Source organism: Homo sapiens, chromosome 6 (genome assembly GCF_000001405.40).
Source record: "Homo sapiens chromosome 6, GRCh38.p14 Primary Assembly".
Taxonomy (NCBI): Eukaryota; Metazoa; Chordata; class Mammalia; order Primates; family Hominidae; genus Homo; species Homo sapiens.
This window is the reverse complement of record NC_000006.12, coordinates 146,349,608-146,369,257: the sequence shown is the minus strand read 5'-3', so window position 1 is coordinate 146,369,257 and position 19,650 is coordinate 146,349,608. Positions and strand designations below refer to the sequence as shown.

At 38.5% G+C, this 19,650-nt stretch overlaps 1 protein-coding gene across 8 annotated transcripts in view, besides 1 other annotated feature; it reads right to left on the bottom strand.

Annotated features, from left to right (window-relative positions):
- GRM1 (glutamate metabotropic receptor 1) overlaps window positions 1–19,650 on the bottom strand; it is a 409,895-nt gene that overhangs the window by 68,344 nt on the left and 321,901 nt on the right. For all 8 annotated transcript variants that reach the window (NM_001278065.2, XM_017010784.2, XM_011535782.2 and 5 more), the window contains 2 exons: window positions 16,762–17,008; window positions 11,564–11,732 (listed from right to left, as the gene is read on the bottom strand). In NM_001278065.2, the coding sequence (NP_001264994.1) occupies window positions 11,564–11,732; window positions 16,762–17,008 (416 nt within the window). The remainder of the gene's footprint in view (window positions 1–11,563; window positions 11,733–16,761; window positions 17,009–19,650) is intronic.
- Window positions 10,375–11,574: an enhancer, noted in NCBI's record as "MED14-independent group 3 enhancer chr6:146678820-146680019 (GRCh37/hg19 assembly coordinates)". NCBI's record gives its function as "activates an origin of replication core promoter dependent on BRD2, BRD4, P300/CBP and CDK7 cofactors, and independent of MED14, by STARR-seq in HCT116 cells {active_cell/tissue: HCT116}" and the evidence as "EXISTENCE:reporter gene assay evidence [ECO:0000049][PMID:35650434]".

The window sequence follows — 19,650 nt, the reverse complement described above, 5'->3', positions numbered from 1 at the left end:
GACACAGCTTTAACTAGACAAGCTAAGAAAAAAAGAGAGAAGACCCAAATAAATAAAATCAGAGATGAAAAAAAGGCACCACAATTGATACCACAGAAATACAGAGGACCATTGTGAATAACTATATGCCAACAGATTGGGAAATCTAGAATAAATGGATAATTTCCTGAATACATATAACCTACTGAGATTGAACCATAAAGAAATGGAAAGCCTGAACACACCAATAATGGGTAAAATGATTGAATCAGTAATAAAAATCTCTCAACAAAGAAAAGTCCTGGATCAGATGAATTCACTGCTGAATTCTACTGGACTTTTAAAGAAGACCAGTATTAATTATTCTCAAACTATTCCAAAAAATTGAAGAGAAGTGAATTCTTCCAAATTCATTCTACAAAGCCATCATTATCCTGATACAAAAACCACACAAGGACACAACAAAAAAGAAAGCTACAAGCCAATATCCCTGATAAACATAAATGCAAAAATCCTCAACAAAATACTGGCAAACCAAATTCCACAGTACATCAAAAAGATTTTTAACTACAATCCATTGGGATTTATCTCAGGGATTCAAGGATGGTTTAATACCACATCAACATAATGAAGAACAAAAACGATATGATCATTTCAATAGATGCAGAAAAAGTATTTGATAAAATTCAACATCACTTAATAATAAAAATTCTCGACAAATTAGTTATATAAGAAATGTCTGTCAACATAATAAGGCCATATATGAACAAATCCACAGCTGACATTTTACTGAATAGGGAAAAATTGAAATCTTTTTCTTCTAAGATATGGAATAAGGTAATGTTGCCCACTTTCACCATTTTTATTCAACATGGTACTGGAAGTTCTAGCCAGAGAAATTAGGCAAGAGAAAGTAATAAAGGGCATCCAAATTGGAAAGGAAGAAGTCAAATTGAACTTGTTTGCAGATGACATAATAATCTATTTAGAAAAATCTAAAGATTCTACCCCCCCCCCCAAAAAAAAACTGTAGAAAATGATAAATGAATTCAGGAAATTTGCAGGATGCAACATCAACATACAAATATTAGTGGCATGTCTATATGCCAATAGTGAACAATCTGAAGAAGAAATAAAAAAGCATTTTTCATTTAAAGTAGCTACCAAAAAATACCTGTAAATAAATTTAACCCAAGAGATAAAATATTTTTACAATCAAAACTATAACACACTGATGAAAGAAATTGAAGAGGACACAAAACAATAAAAAGATATTCCATGTTCACGCTTGGAAGAAATAAGATAGTTTAAATGTCTATACTACCCAAAGTGATCTACAGATTTAATGCAATCCTTATCAAAATACCAATAGCAATCTTCACAGAAGACACATGTATTCATGTGTTCATCATGGCACTATTCACAACAGCAAAAACACAGAATCAAGCTAGATGCCCATCAATGGTGGACTGAATAAAGAAAAATGAGGTACATACACACTGTAAAATACTACACAGCCATAAAAAAGAAAAATCATGTCCTTTGCAGCAACACAGATGCAGCTGGAGGCCATCATCCTAAGCAAACTAATTCAGGAATAGAAAACTTGCAAACACTGCAGGTTCTCATTTATAAGCAGGAGCTACACACTCGGTAAACATGGACATGAAGATGGCAACAACAGGCACTGGGGACTACTACTATGGGGGCCATGGGTTGAAAAACTTCCTGTCTGGTACTAGCTCTCCAACTGGGCCACTGGATCATCCCTACACCAAACCTCAGTGGCATGCAATTTATCCATGTAAAAAACTGTACCCTCTGGGAAGCTAAAATAAAAGTAAAAAATAAAAATAGAAAAAAAAATCCTAAAATTCTCATGGAACCACAAAATAATCCAAATAACCAAACAATCTTGAGCAAAAGAACAAAGCTGGAGACATCACACTATCTGACTTCAACATACACTACACAGGTAGTTAATTAAAGCAGCATGATTCTGGCATAAAAACAGACACATAGGCCAGTGGAACAGACGAGAGAGTCCAGAAATGAGTTCACATATTTACAACCATCTTATTTTCTACAAAGACTCCAAGAAAATACACTGGGGGAAGGACAGTCTCTAATAAATGGTGCTAGGAAAATATGGATATTCATATGCAGAAGAAAAAAAAACTAAACCCCTATTTCTCACTATATACAAAAGTAAATTCAAAATGGATTAGAGACTTAAATGTCAGAGCTGAAACTATGAAACTGCTAGAGGAAAATATTGGGGAAATATTTCAAGACATTGGTCTCGGCAAAGATTTTCTGGATAAAACCTCAAAAGCACAGGCAACAAAAGCAAAAATAGACAAATGAGATTATATCAAGCTAAAAAGCTCCTTCACAGCAAAGGAAACAATTAACACAGTGAAGAGACAACCTACAGGATGGGCAAAAATATTTGCAAACTATCCATTCAACAACAGATTAATAACCAGAATATGTAAATAACTCAAACAACTCAAGGGCAAGAAAACAAATAACCTGATTTTAAAAATGGGGAAAAAAACCTAGACATATCTCAAAAGAAGATATACAAATGGCCAATAGGTATATGAAATCCTGTTATTTGCAGAAACATGAATGAGCCTGGAGGAAATCATGTTAAATAAGCAAAGCACAGAAAGAAATATGTTGCATGTTCTTACTCATATGTGGGAGTTTTAAAAGTTGGTCTCATGGAGGTAGAAAATAGAATGCTGATTACCTGAGGCTGGGAAGGGGAAAGGAGAGGGGTGAATGAAGAGAGACTGGTTAATGCGTATAAAAATACAGTTAGATAGAAAAAATAAATGCTAGTGTTTGATAGCACAATAGGGGGACTATAGTTAACAATAATTTATTGTATATTTTAAAATGGCTAGAAGAGAACAATTGGAATATTCCCAAACACAAAGAAATGATAAATATTTGAGGAGATGGATATCCCACTGACCCAGATTTGATCATTACACATTGTGTGCATGTTTTAAAATATCATGTGTATCCCATAAATATGTACGATTATTATGTGTCAATAAAAATGCCTATGGAGAGCATATTTATTCAGTCATTCATTGACTCATTCATTCATTCATTCATTTGAAATATGCATTTGATTGCCTAGCCTACATGCAATGTGTCAGGCACTGTATCAAAGCTCAAAATAATCAGTGAACAAAACATACTATCCCCACCTTTGAGGAGCTGTCATTCTACAAAAAAAGGCTTTGGAAAAACTAAAGCAAGAAAGAGGAATAGGTCACAGGGGAGAAACCAAGATGAGGCAAGGGAAATGTCCAGGGACCAAATTTAAAGAGACTTTCTCCCTCAGGGACGTGCAAGTCCTCACCCAGCTTTCAGGACCTTGAGAGTGACCGCCTCCTTGAAGTCTGTACCATAGGTGCCTGCCTCACTCTGGTCCTCGTCCTGATAGGAAGACACCTGAAATACGGGGTTACCATTTTGCATATGGTGGTCAGGTAAGGTCCCGCTAAGATGTTGCCACTTAAGTAAAATCTTGAGGGAGGGAAAGGGCGTAGCTATCTGGTGAAAGAGTGTTCTAGGCAGAGGGGACAGCTAGAGCAAGGCTAGGTAGGATGAGTACCCTGCATTTTCATACTTGTGCTGCCCTCCGCTACTTTTCTGTGTGTATATTATACTTTAATAAATGTCTACTTAAAAAATCAAATGTGGCTCACTTACATCACTGCCACCAAAGACATGTCAGCCTTGCTGTGTCCCCTGTTCTGCCCAATAGCCCATGATTCACAGCATTTCTCCATGGGGATCTGTCCCTGAAAGTGACGAAGGGGCTGGATCTGAGGTAATAACAAAAAAGTTCAGTGACCAAGAGAACAGCACAGATATAGGTCTGAGTGGGAGTGGTGAAGGTGTGGGCATTACTCATAGTGGTTGTGGATAAATTAATGATATTTCCATGGAATTTTTCACTATGACTGTGTTTGCAAAGTTTCCCCCTCATTCAAAGATACTACAGTAATTTCATTTTTTTTTTTTACATTCACAACAAGACACTAAAGACAATGTTTGGACTTCAATTCCTTTTCAAAATTTTAGTAGCACAGGCAGATCTCATCATTACATAATTATAGACTTCTCAAGTACAAGATTCTTTGATATGCCTGTGGGCAATTTGTACTCAGAACTTGCCATTTTGCAGTAGAATTGAGAAGATATTACACAGTGGAGGAACTGAATCATTGTTTTACTGGATGCCAAAATGGTTACATTAACTATATGATTTAGATGGTTAGTTTGTTTTGATTCACAAAGAGGGAAAAAAGCTGAGGTGGATGTGACAGTTACGGCTGAAGATGTTATTGTTAACTTTCTTAGCTGGTTTGATAATTATACGAGAATTGTCCTTATTAGAAGATGTAAGCTGAGGTATTAAGGTATAAAATTTGATGATATTTCTACCCTTTAAATTGTTCCAAAAAAAAAAAAAATAGAAGAAGAGGGAGAAAGACAGACAGAGAGAGAGAGGCGTGATGTGGTAAAAGATTTATAATTCTGGAATGAGATTGGTGGATATGCGAGTAACTATTGTACTATTTTTTAATATTTTCTTTTATGTTTCAAAATGAGAACAAAAGAGAGGTATTCATTAATTTGGTCAAAATTTTAAGACACAGCTGGACAAGAATAAAAATACTCATTACAGATGTAAAAAGTGTTCAAAGATAATCCACGTTAGTAGGCATGAAATAGTTAAAGAAAAAGGAATAATCTCATTAAGCTATAGCCAGCTGGGCTGGCTGGAGTGGGTCATGGGGACAGGATCATGATATGCCAGTGCCAATCAGGTAGTAATCAGATAGTGATGATTGTTTGCAGAATAGGATAATTTACTTGAGGTAGATTTCGGTCTAAACAATTCTCTTGCTATCATATTCAAGACAAAATTCCTCCTCACACTGTCGTGGAGGAAAGCAAATGCATACAAGCAATTTTGAAGCACATGCACTGGAGGAGAAAGAAACTATTTCTATATTCTATGGTGTAGCCCCTAAAAACAAAAATAAATAGCTAGAGGTAAAAGGAAATACAGTCACAATGTGACACACTTTAAACTCTGAACTGGGAGCAATTGCAGATGGAAAAATTGAGTATAAAATCGTCAACCCAGCATGATTTACAATGTGACCTAGAAGCAAATCAGCAGATGAGCTACTTGGATTCAGTGTGAGAATAGGAAAGGTAGAAGCGGATGCGTCGTCTATCCTCTTCCCAACCTCATTTTCCCCTGCCTTTTTAGGCTGCCATTTCCTCAACCTTCCAACCACTGCCAGTGAGAACAGAGGGGCAATATCTTTTGAGTGGTAGCTCTTATCAGGAAATGGTGTTATAGCATATTTTTGTTATCCTATATTTGGACAAACATGTTGCAATGTTTCGATCACTGCAAAGTGGAAATGATAAGGCTTTTCAAAGTTCATCTAGCTGATTTCCATAGAATACAAGTTTCATCTATCACATTATTAAAGTTGTTTTTCTCCTTGAGGACATCATCCATTTAAATAGCTGAGAACACACCTATTTTATGTAGCTGTTTCTGTATAAAGCAACAGGAAGGACTGATTACACATAGTAGAAATATATTAATAATATACCCACACATATGTATACATACATACACATACATAGACACATACACATAGATTTTATATTACGTTCTAGAGATCAACTTTCACCTTATCACATTCCTTTTCTTATTATCAGGAAAGGTAGGGTTGTACTAATTGCTTGACTATTGTGGTCAAGAATGGGTATCCAAGCTTCCAGATAAACAGCATCTTTTACCCAGTAATGCAGAAGCTAGGTTAACTAAGCAACTGTAAATATAGAGAGCTCTTTGAATAGCAGGAAAATGTACAGAGGAAGAGGGAAATGATATTAAAATAAGGGAGCTAAGGAAGGATCTTAGGTTGCTGATGACAAATGCTCTGGAATCTGAGACCCTAACTCCAATCTCTGCAGAGGCTTGAAGAGACATGACCGAACATAACTTGGCTACATTTTAATCAATGGCCTATGGTGAAAGGTGTCGATCTGAAAATTAATATGAGCAATTTAATTTTTTTAAAGAAGGATATTATTAGAAATTATAAGTTTTCTCCACTGGCAATTTGTCTCAAGTAGCTATATCTACTAACAGGAAAAGCCAGATACGAACTCCTGTAGCAGCATTATTTAATAATGCTTGCAGCACAAACCTGGGCACATTTAACGTTCCAATTCCAGCCAAATATAAATGGTTTCTTAGTGGACTCTCTTAGTTCCATCCATTTTTAAGCGTATCTTAGGTCGTAATGAGAATGATCATGTTCCCTTTGCTTTGATTCTCAATGAATCTGCTCTTTGGCCTCTTTGCTCACCCATGAAAAAATCAGTCATATAAGAAGCTAAAATTGAGCAAGGAGCACGCTAGAGGTTTAAATTAAGCAGTCTTCTTTTCTTAGGGCCACATTTCTAATGCCTTTTAAGATGAAAATTTTATGTCTCTAGTAGATAATTCCAAAAAATCAGATGAAATGTCTTTTTTTTTTTTTTTTTTTTTTGAGATGGAGTCTCGCTCTGTCACCTAGGCGCTATCTCGGCTCACTGCAAGCTCTGCCTCCCAGGTTCATGCCATTCTCCTGCCTCAGCCTCCTGAGTAGCTGTGATTACAGGCGCCTGCCACCACACCTGGCTAACTTTTTGTATTTTTAGTAGAGATGGGGTTTCACCATGTTAGCCAGGATTGTCTCGATCTCCTGACCTCGTGATCTGCCTGTCTCAGCCTCCCCAAGTGCTGGGATTACAGGCGTGAGCCACCGCACCCGGCCGGAATGTCTTATTTCATAAATGAAAACAGTTAATTCTAAAGTCTACAGTGTGTAAGATATGTGTAAGTGGACTTTGTTCTATATAAATAAGGTGCCACTTTACAGCAATAGGGCATGTGTAAATGAGGAGAAACATTTATGATGTGTGCCACATTCACCTAATATCTCCAGAATTCTGTCATGATTGGCTGGGTGATGATAAGAAGAGGTAAGGTTACCTCTATTCTCTTACTGCAACCTCCCAACCCAAAACCAACGTCTTGGAGAAAAGAATTCAAATACAAACTTAAGACGAAAAAGAAAGCAGGAGAAGAGAGCAGAGAGAGGAGAGAGGGGAAGAAAGAACAGGAGGCCAGTGAAATCAATCTTCAGTATCCTTTCCCTCACTTCTCTGTCAATGTCTCAGTCTCTATTAAACTCTTCCAGCCTCCTTCACAAATATTGCTTGCTGAATTCTGGATTCTGTTCCCTCGGCATTTTAAAAGTGGATTATTACTTATGATTTTATTGTGAGCTATTGAAAAAATAAAGGCTTAGAAATTGAAATATGCATTTGAAGGAAATGTGCCAGTTCATATAATGAAAGATAGTTGAACAACATGTGTCCGTGGGATGATAACAGCTTTGAGCTGGCTCCAAGCCCAGCTTTGGCACTTTCTAGCTGAGAGAGCTTAGGGGCAAGTGACTCAATCCCTCTGGGTCTCAGATTCCCTCGTCTATAAAATGGGGGGATGATAATACCTGCTTTAAAAGGGTCCTTTTAAGGAGTAATTGAAATGATGTCTGTAAATCATCTATTGTACTTGCTTATGAACATACTTGACCAATGTTAGTCCCTGATCTCCATTACTTCCCTTCTCCTTTCCAGCATTTTCTTTTCCTTTACCTTTCCTCCCCTTTCTACCCCTTTCCTGTCCTTCACTACAGCAAGGAAAACAGCAGTGGGTTCTGTATGTGAGACCAGCACACACACAAGGCCCCTGATGTTTGCTTGCATAACACTGTTCAGATTTTATCTGTTGCCCCAGACTCTCTTTGGCTGTACTTGTGTCTTGGGCCCTTGGCTATCAGCACTCGGAGAGTTCTAGACATTGCTGTTATGACTGCTACTGCAGTCTCAGTCACTGCTCGTTCATCTTCTGTCATCTCTTGCTGTCTCTCTCTCCCTTTGAGTAGGCTCTGGGCTCCAGAACTGCCCCTGTTGGACTCACCATAGCAGGACCCAGGTCAGACCATAGGAGACCCACCTAGGCTCTCACTCCTCACATTGCTTTCAGAATCTGAAGAAGTGTTGTGTTACAAGTCCTGGGCTCTGGCTTCCTCAGTAGCTGCCTGTAACTTCCTGTGAGCATAAACTTTGGCCACACGAAGCAGAACATAGGATGAAGTGAACACTTTCATTCCTCTCCCATCCTTCCTCCAATAGTCCAAGTAGCCTATCCAGTGACCTCTTGAGGCCACGTGATTAGTTATGCTCAGTGAAGCAATCTCCTGCTCAATAACATGTCACCTTGTTTTGTTTGTTTTGCTTTTCCCCATCCTTCCATACCTCACTTCCCTTTCCCCCTTATTCTTGTTTCTCTAGGATTGAATCTTCCATTAATGTATTAGCAATTAATCCTTGCATAGTTGGTAAAGTTCAAGGGAACCTGAGCTAAGATACTTGTGAACTACATTTTCCAGGATCTCTTGCCAGCTGTCTTCTGGATGGGTTTGGTAAAATAGGAGCAACTAATGGGAGGCAGAAGAGAAAAACCAGGGTGCCCTCACTCTCCCACTTCAGGGATAGCTCAGAGGTAGTAGCTGTGAGGTTTCCTTTGGTCCCTGTAGCTCTGGAGTGGGAGTAGATGCTGCTGTTGGTCACCTTTGAGTTGCCTCAGTACCCCATTTTACTTTTGTGACCATTTTCTTCTATTAAATTTCCCCTAGTAAACCATCTGACATGGGCTCTTTTTTTCCTGAGTGGACCCTAAGGTTACACACAACAATAAAAAGTATTATTTTATTCACCTGTGTTTGTGGTATGACAAAAATTTTTCTCTTCTTCCATGAGATATTATATTTATAAGATATATTTATAATTCTAAAAATCAATAACATAAGAAAACTGGATTTTTGACTACTTCAAAGGAAATGATCTTAAGAAAGTTCTGTGGGTTATCAGAAAAGACATCAAATTATTATTTTAGCAGTTTAAATGGATTTGATATTTAAAATAACCCTTTCCTAAAGGCTGTATTTCCCAGTTAATACAAGTGTATGTCCTACAATCACCTTGCAAGCTGCCTGTTTCTCTTATATCTTGACAGTGGCTACTGATCTGGCTGTATGCATCCTGGGCCTGGTAGGTGGCAAATTAGTGATGTTAGAATGTGCATAATATTATTTGGTAAATACGACTCAAATTTCATTTGTTTCCATACCTCCCAAGGTGCTTATGAGAAACAAAACAAACATCCCCCCTCACCTCCATTCCAGGTTGGTATTGAGAGCATGCATATTTTCCTTCTGCAGGGTATACAATTTTCTAAAATTGGCCCCCAGGAGCTTTGCATTTATAGTGAATGCTCTGTAATGGCTCAGCAACAACTTCTGGGATCTCCTTCGATAACACGCATGGGCATAGCACAAACATGATGGCAGAAACACTTCAGTGTCTAGGTGCAGGGACAAATGCGGACAGCCTTGCCCCTGAACTGGGGAGAACAAAGGCCTCTCCTCTGGAAGGTGTAAAGGGGAGCACACGTGGTATGTGAGCAGCCATTCATGGTCACCTGGCAGTCAGAGTAACAGTAAGGAATTGTGAAAGGGAGCTTGAGGACAGCAAATCCTTGCAACAATTTGTTTTCTCCTGCCAGGTTTTATTTTTTCCATATATAACCTGCAAAACTGAACTTTGCAGTTCCAAAAACTGTTTCCCAGTAATTGTCTGCACAATAGACTCAATGCTACACCCACACTGGAGAGGCAGCCTGAGCCAACATGTGACATCCTTTGGGTGGCAGAAGTGCATGTGCTCAGGGCTTCTGTCCTCTCCCCACCTTATGACTTCAGTCCACAGATAATCCTGTTTTTTCCCACTATTCAGAAAAGATGATGCAACCAGAATGCCTTGGTCTGGCATCTCATGATAACAGGCAAGGAGAAATGTGGGGCCTGTGGATTTCAGAGAACATACCTTATATCATCAGCAGCCTCATGTGGAAGTATTCCACCTAGTCAGGAATCAGCCCATACATACTACTTTTACACATTCTTAGACTACTGAAATACTTCTGCACTGCTTGGAAGCTAGCAGTGTCTCCATGTCTCCTGAATCCCCCACATGACCCCAGCCATGTAGAACACATTGGCCAAACCTTCCCATGATCCACCAACTCAAAGATTTACCATAGCCATGGCATGAGGCCTCCAGTACTGTGTCACAGCATGAGAATGGAGTCTATGCTGATGGACTGGTTGTCATAACAACTATCAAATATTTTTAATATAACTTCTGCAGAGAAGGCACAAGATACCTAAAACTAGGATGACTCATCTCAGAAGTTTCTTTCTTTGTCCAAGTGGCTGGAGTGACTGAGAATTTGAGTCCACCAGGATAGCTCTTCTCAGCTGCCAAAAGCTGGTACAGGTTGCAGATCCTGCATTTTCTTTAGTCAGTTGAGATAAAGCATGTCCAGCCTCTGTCTAAACTTAGCATTATATGACTGGATTCTTGCCCTGGGGACCCTTCAGTGAACTTATCAGAGCATCTCTCCTCCATGGGTGTTTTTGCAGCTCCCAAGCAAAGAATGGTACAGCGGCATGTCAGCATGGCAGGAGCCAGAGCCTCACGCCTGATCTACCCCAGCTCCAGCTGTGCTGTGAGACATTTACGTGACAGCCTGTCTGTGCCTCAAGATGAATCACAGAAAATTAGGGATGGGAAAGATCTATTAGGTCATCTAATCCATACCCTGCCATTCACAATCCCTCCCCTATGCTCCATTTCCTAGCGCATCCCCCAGTTTGGTTTTAAATAGCCTGGGATACAGAGAGTGTTGCCTCCATGCTTTCTTCATCAAGAAGCCTCTTTAGCACACCCCGCCGAGGATTTGATGCTTGTTTGTTGTCATTTTCTATATATACTGATGTCATAGTTACTCACTTGCCCCACCCACCCTCCAAATAGCTCCTGAAAATAGTTAGAAAGTGGGGACGCTGTCTTTTGTAGAAAAAAATGCCAGTTTCAAAAGAATCAAAGGACTAGGTAGAGAAACGGAAAATGATAAGCAGTCTGTGTTACCCTATTTCAACTTCTGGTATTTTGGTTGTTTGCTTATTTAGCATTGTTCAGCTTCTGCTTTCTTTAACAATAGCTAGAACTATGACTAAGCACTATTATTGACTTTGGTTTTCACATTTACTTCTGTTTTTGATTTTTAAAATTTGATTACTCATCCGTTTCCTGCCAAGATTGTGTTAAAGATTCCAGTCCATCATTGTGATTCAAGTAAAGACTATGCAAATATTCTAAGAGTTTACTCACTCTGTTTCCTAATCTTTGTCTTTTCAGTTTTACCTAAACTCAAGAGCCAAAACTGTAAGCCTGGCACACCCTTTCTAGACAGTTATGTTTTTAAAATTGTCTGTGTTGTTCTTTACTAATGTCCAGGCAGCCAACCTCCTCACAGATACCATGCAAGAATGCATTTGTGGCTTACCTTAATCTGGCCCTTTAAGCAAGGCTCACTGCACACAGACCGCACCACTCCACTCTTGTTCATCTGGATTTTGTAATCATCAATGTTCAGCACTCCTTCATGCCAGGTTCCAACGTGCACATAGTCATAGCGATTAGCTTCAGTGTACTGCAGATTCATGATATCATACCTACAAAGAGCACAATGTGCATGTCTTATAGAATATAGACATAATGTAGAAAACAAAGAAAGTTGGTAAGTAGATAATAATAGAAACAAGAGAAAGCTAGAATCATCTTAAATCAGCTACTGCCAATATTTTAGCTTATTTCTTATGTTTCCTCTGATTATCCCAAATGTGTATATTCCATTCTTCAATCTCTGTGTATCATCCATATTCACTAAAAATTAAATTACTCTTGTACTTTTCTCTCTGCTTATCCTCCAAAAAATAATGCTATGTTTGCTAAGTTGATCATGTCCTTCCAATTATGGTTTATTAAGTTATTCTTTGAATAAGTATCAATAAGAACATTAATTTTTTATTTGATTAATCCAAATTTCTTTTTCACATTAAGTTGTCATTTTCATTACACTGTATTAAAAGGGATGAGTTTTACCAAGTCTGGAACGTTTTTAAGGTGCTAATAGAGCAAGAAATCTGAGAAAGGCATCTTTAATTACTAAGGATGTTGAGGATTTAATGTCTTGTGCACTGACATTTAAACTAATCTCTTCCCTGATTAGGATAAATATTTTTGAAACCAAATAGCTGGTATCAGTTATTTCAGTAATTTGAAATGCCGGAACACTACACAATGGCAAAACCTGCACTTAGAACTCTTCACTATAGTAATCATTACTATATACATACAGTATATCAAAACATCATGTTATACACCACACACCATATATGTATATGGTATAGGACATTCTACAATGCAATCTAAAGAACGCAAGATCTAACATCAGAATGTACAAGCTGGTCTCTTTTCTAACATTTTAACAGTAGATTATACTACTTAGGAATGCCACTAAACTCTTTAAGCCTCACGTGGTTCTTGTGGGGATTTATTAAGATAGACATGTAAAAAACTGCTTTATATTCAGGACAAATGCATATGTCCTATGGTCGAAATGCTTATGTTCACCCCCTTCCATTCATATGCTGAAAATCCTAACCCCCAAGGTGATGGTATTAGGAGGAAGGGCCTTCAGGAGGTGATTAGGCCATGAGGACAAAGTTCTCATGAATGAGATTAGTAAAAGCAGCCTTAAAAAGCTTTCTAGCCCCCTTCCACCACACAAGGACAAAATTAAAAGGTGCCATTTGTGAACCAGAAAGCAGGTCCTCCCTAGACACCAAATCTGTTGGTGCCTTGTTCTTGGACTTTCCAGCCTCCAGGACTGTGCGCAAGACATTTCTGTTATTTATGAACCATACAGTTTATGATATTTTGCTACAGCATCCCAAATGAAGGAAGACAATCTATAAGTCAATAGCATGATTTCATTCATATTTCTATTACTATTAATGCCCTAAAATACTCTGGTTATTTTCATTACTATACGAATACTGGAGAACAACTTTGTACTGGCATAACCATTTATATCTCAGTCATGGGAACTCTGGCATTCTTACATCTCCTTTCCATGTTGCTATTCACTCTATAATTAATGCTGCAGTTTCCCAAAGCTGCATGCTTGGTTGCTCCTTACTAGTTCTGCAAAGTGGGATTCTATTCTGCAGTACCTATGCAAAGTGCTCGTCCTCCTGGACTAGAAGATGAGTCACGGCCTCTTGCTCTTTGTGCTTGACTGAAGGAAATGGCAATTAATCAACACATACTCTTCTTCATCAGCTCTCTTCATCCCTCGCCCCTCTCACACGCCCCTGCTTAATCCTTCCTGCAATTCTTTCTCTCTAAACTGACTCATGTTCACAATCCCTCTCAGCCTAACACTCCAGGAGGCTACAGCCAATCAAACTAAGTTGGCATCTGAAATCTATTGGCTGTATCTGGCCTAGTTTTTTTGTTTGTTTGTTTGTTTTTCAATCTAGACAAGGAATGTCAGTTGATTGGGTTTTCTGCTTGTTCTTAATGTGCAAATGCATTCTGTCACCCACAGGGTAGCTAATGGCTTCTCCACATCCAGATTCTTGCAATTTCTACAAATAGTTGTCCCCTAAAAGAAAAGGTATTCTGGGAAAGTAAAGAAAGCTCTCCTTTGCCAGGTAAACAAAATGCACTTAGAATGAGAAGAGAGAATGGTACACCCAGAGCACATTATTCATCTCTTTGCTGTGTTGACTTTTGACTGATAAAGAGTTATTAGCCCCCAGTTGCTAGACATACCAGAAAGTTATTCAGAGTATCTTTCTGAGTGATATCCAAGTGAGAATTAACTGTGGGCTGCTGGCTCACACTCATCCTGTTGATCAATGACACTAATCTACACCTCTGATATCTTTCCATTTTAGATTCATTAGAGCTATAGAACCTGTTGTGCTGTTGTGAGTGCTTGATGTGAGTAATTTCCATTTTCATTTCCAGGAATTTTTGTGTTTTATTTCAGATTACATTAATACAGCTTCTCACATACAAAGAAGGCTTTGCTGCAATGCTGGCTCTAGAATGTCTTTTTCCTTTAAATCAGTTTCCAAAGACTTTTATTTTAGCTTCCTCATTTGCTTTTTCATAAGAGAAATCAGTTCACACTTCATTAGCATTTAGAAACAAAAAAAATTCACAATATTTTGGTATAAAACACATTTTTTTAAAAAGTCCCAAAAGCTGGGAAAAAAACTATGGAAAAATATCCAGGGAAAAATACTGACTTCATTTTAAGAAGCCTTCCTCATACTGTGTGTATTACTGAACACTGCCCTTTTCCTTTGACCCCAGGGTTCCTTCCAGGCATGTTGGTTTTTATTTTGGAATTTTTATGCTATAAATTACATATTTACAACATCCTCTCAATGCATTCAGTTTACATTGTGTGATGATTAACTGAAATAATTACAAGAGGGACCAAAAGCATGAACGATGGTATGACAGGAGGAGGAAGTACAGGGAGATTTTTGAAACAGAAATTGAAAACGGATTATGCCAACCAATTGCAAGCAGAAGGATATGATCCCTAAGAAAAGACCCAGGGGAAAGCTTAAGTAACATTTGAATATTTAATTAAAGATGGAGAAGAAACAAGCTAAAATTATGCACCGACATTTTAGATAACTTGTAGAGAGAGAAGAGGAGTAAACTTGAATACATGAAGTGTCAAAAATGCATCTGGCCTTGTGCTAGGCACATTGTATGTTATCTTTGGGAATCATGAAGGAAGGTTTACATTCTAATTCTGACCCTTATTGAGCCTAGGGTCCAGTGGGACACAGGATGAAAGAGGGTTTACAGAGGCAGGTAGTCAATGTTCTGAACCTCAGACTCACTTGTTGCTCCTAGTACCATTTCCTCGAAGCTTTTCACATGCCCAGTTCCTGAATCATTCCATCTACCTCACTCGCATTCCAGTCAAAACCTGCTCCCATCTAACTAGCAGCTTGGAAGAAATCTGATAAATTGATCATTTTAATTGCTGACAATGACTGATATCGTTTATCCTTCCTAGAGCTGTCAGATTTTAACAGGGAGAATCCACTTAGCTCTCACAAGGTACTCCCTAAGTGCAGGACTTCAAGCTGACACAAACAGATACATGGAGACTTACTTAGGGTCAAACAGTCCCTTACAGTACTTCTGAAATGACATTAAGAAGGTTGCCAGGCCGGGCAAAGTGGCTCACGCCTGTAATCCCAGCACTTTGGGAGGCCAAGGTGGGTGGATCACTTGAGGTCAGAAGTTCAAGATGAGCCTGGCCAACACGGTGAAACCCCATCTCTACTAAAAATACAAAAAAAGTAACCAGGTGTGGTGGTGCACACCTGTAGTCCCAGCTACTTGGGAAGCTGAGACAGGGGAATCACTTGAATCTGGGGGACAGAAATTGCAGTGAGCCGAGATTGTGCTACTGCACTCCAGCCTGGGCAACAGAGTGAGACTCTTTCTCAAAAACCGAAAAGAAGATTGCCAGCCACGTTGCCTAATTTTAGGATCTGCTAAAAGGCAGTGTGATGTTGTAAAAGATTAGAAGCCTCAGAGTGAGAGCACTTGCCTCCACCGCTTGCAATCTGTGGACATTAGGTGAGTTCCTTAGTTTCTCTGATACCCAGTTTTATTATCTGTAAAAGAAAGACAATGATCCACCTACAGCAATGAAGATTAAATGATTTGATGTTCCACTTGAACACAGCATATGCTTTTCTAAAAAGCTCTAAGTCTGGGACATCGTAGACTGACAGGTGACAGGGCCTATAAGACCCTGGGCTTGCTGAGTGGTAGCCAAGCTGAGGGCCTTTTTCCTTCTTCCTGAAGGTGTTAATTCTTCTGCCATTCTGATTATGCCTTTCCTAAGAAACTGTTTATGAATGAACACAACTATTCTTGATACTAACAAAATTTCCTATGTACCAATTATGCTTGAGCTAACTGGTAGTATCAAAACAAGTATTGCAGAGCAGACTGTATGTAAAACGGCTTGGAGAGGATTTTATGTATATACCTTGGTTTACTTTTCATCTGCTTTTTGTTTGATTAATAAGCCATAGGGGCTCAATCCCAAAAAGAAAGTTGTTTCCTTTCTTGCTCCAAGACATATGTTAGCACAAACATAGGTTAGCCTGAGGAGAAGGGACACATATGCAGGACTTAGTTCTCTTTGCATACTGAGCTCTTTAACCAGGTGTAATATTCAAAATATTTCATAACCAGAATGGTATATAGTCAATCAATCAGAAAGATGCTGGCCTGGTGCTGGCAAGGTCTGAGAGGTTTCTGCTGGCCAAGTGTAATTTCTTTAGGTTCCTGGGCTTGCAGGAAGGTCCCAAGCATTCTGGAAAAAGGGTCAAGTGATAGGTGAGTTAGGGGATGGCACTGGTAGAATACTGGGTATTGGGTGTTGAAAAAGAAGTATTTTAATGTCTTAAAAAGTGGTGTGGTCTTTGGTAATTTCATCTGATATTATCCCTGGACTTTTTGCTACCTAGTTGTATCTATCCTCATGGCACCCAGAAACCATGGAACCAGATGAAGCCACAGTTGCCATCTGTCTGGCACAGGAAGGCTCACAAGGTTACTTAGATTGATTACTGAAAAGATTACCTTCCAGGAGCGTCTCCTTTCTCATCAAACCACACCTCCTCTCCAGATACTCCAATGAATGAGGACTTGATGAGGAAGTCCAGCAGCTTGCTGCCGTCGATGGGCTTCATGGCATCGCAGAGGCCCACGTGGCCAGGGCAGAGGGCATGGTGCATGTTCTGCAGCCCATGTGCCATGGCATAGATGGCATTGATGACAAACCCCATCTTACTGTCCTGGACATAGTTTTCTTCTAAGCTTTCATTGCCTGTAACAATAAAAATAGATCACTACCAAGGTCACAATGATAAAGACTAGGCTCCCAGGTTTAATTCTCAAATGCTTTTGGGGGTTCTCAGAGGAAGGGAATGAGCAATGACACTGGCAGAAGCCACGCCCACCTGTGCAAGCTTTGTACTTGTGGCTAGCTCTAGCAGATTCCACCTGCAAATGATTTATTCAGTTTTATTCTCTCTATTCGATAATGGTTTTATGAGATATAAAACAAACTCCACAGAGGCGAAAATAAAGGACTTTTGAATATTGTAAAGAAATCCTGAAGGAGTAATGGAAATAACTCTTACTCCCTCTTTGTTCACAGGAACTTATATTAAATATCTTCCTATATCATGGTACTGGAAAAACATTTTTTGATTCCTTTATGACAATCTACAGTTTACAGGAATTCAATTTATGCATTATCTAAACCATGGTATTTTCTTTTGGTGATTCCACTATTTTTTTTTCATTTCTAGGGCCACAAAAATCCAGAGTTAGAACTGGTCAGTATGAATCTCTTCTTATATACGGTTGATGGGGCCGAAATATTTAAATCAGATTTGCTAGTTATTGGAAACTCAGGTAAAATGTTTCTTGATGGAAGAGTCACACTACACATTAATTTTAGCCTTTAGATTTTACCTGTGAATTTCAAAAACCCTGCAATCATTTCTACCTATGTCACAGGTGATCAAAAACTCCCCTACTGCCAAGCAGGTTTGCAAGAATGGTATTGTGTTAGATATAAGCTCCATATTGGAAGCCTAGACTTCAGGACTTAGATATGGATGAGAAATTTTGGGACCAACTGGGTTTGCTGAAATAAAGGTAAGAGGTTTGGAAAACAAAAAATATATTTGGAAAACATCACTGGCATAATTCAGAGACTTTAGTTGGTTCCTGAAATTTGCTTCTCTCTGCAGTGAGCATTTCCTCCCTCATTTGACTGATAGTAGGGGGTCGATGTGATGTGTGTTTGAAGTACTAGAAGGTGGGAAAGTCAGCAATTTAGCTGCATATGGGGTTGAGAACAACATGGGGCTCCTCACACTCCCTGCCAGCTGCCCTTTGTTCCAACCTAAATAGGTCACTGGACACTAAGGTTCCCAGGCTAAGACTAGCAGAGAAATATTTAGGATGTTAGACAGTTTGAGTCTTTAGAAGAAACGGTAAAGAGTTTTGACTTTGATATCGAACTTGGGATGAAAATGGACATTTTTAAAGAGTTCTATTTAAAGGCCTATTTAGATGTAGTCAAAAGTTTGAAAAGGATATCCTTATATCTACCCTGAGAGTGACATATAAAATACCCAGGCTAGGTTAAAGGGGAAGAAGATTAGATTTTAATCCATTTTCCAGCTTTGCAAGATAAGACATTGTTAAAAGTGTAATTTGCTAAAGCAATATTTTCCTGATTTAAAGGAAATTTTCCAAGAGGAAATGAGGAGTAAGATAGAGGAAGGGCATTTTAAAATCAAACCACACAAAATAAGTATAGAAAGTTACATAAGAAAGAAAAGATCCTCCTTCCAAAAATTGCAGATTCATTTAAACAGAGTAGCTTATGTCTGTCACTCAGAACCCATGGCCCTTACTGTTGGTTTTCTTTCTCTCCCTCTCCAACTTACTGGGACCATAAAAGAGGTAAATTTGTGCCATCTGCCTGATAACTCTTAAACAAGCCCTTATAGGCTCGCCTAGAACCCCAAATGCTAAATATTAAAGCTACTAGAATCATAGAAATTACCAAGAGTTAAAGAAAAAAAAAAACACAAAAATTGAGTGGCAAAATAACCTTGAAGACAGCAGCCCCTTAAAGTGTCCTGTCAATACTAAAACCATCACCCAAAGTTGCAGTCATTACAACCAACAACAGGGTCAAACTGTAGAAAAATATCAGAATAAATACACAATGTTCTTTACCAAATGAAAAATTATCTGTTAGACACAAGCCTTATGGACACTGAGTTTGCTCTTCTTGTTTTTATAACTACTATTTAAGATTTATTTTACATAGATAAAAAATTATGTTGGTGTCCCCAGTACAAATTTCTTAAGCCAGTGCCAGTGGTTGTCTAGTGGATACTTCATTCATCAGCACTGAGACAGGAACTGTTCTTGGATATCTGTGAGATCAGTCTTTTCCTTTTGATCCTCATTTAGGGTGATCATAGAACTTATGACTTGGGTCGTTTTTTTAGAGAGAAAGTTAGTGTTAGCAACAATTATTTTGAGAACACAGGTGTAAATAAGGCAAACCAGGAAAATTGTGTCATCTCTCTTAAGTCAGGTGCCTTCTAACTGTGTCTTATCTTCTGAGGTTATTAAGGGTAAGATTAACATAAAAATATGTATGTATAGACACACGTAAATATATGTACATAGATGTATACATATGTATATACAAACAATAGTCAGTAGAATGTCATTATTTTTTAACTAATTTCACAGTTATGTAATTTTTTAAGGATTTGACAAATATTTATTCATACCTATGATACATCTGGCACTGCTTTTTTCAATGGGGTATTATGTAGACAAAACATACAAGAATACCTGATGTCTCCGGACTTAAATTCTTGTAAAAGGCTATAGAAAATTTCTAAAAATTAACACAACTAAGAAAATTAT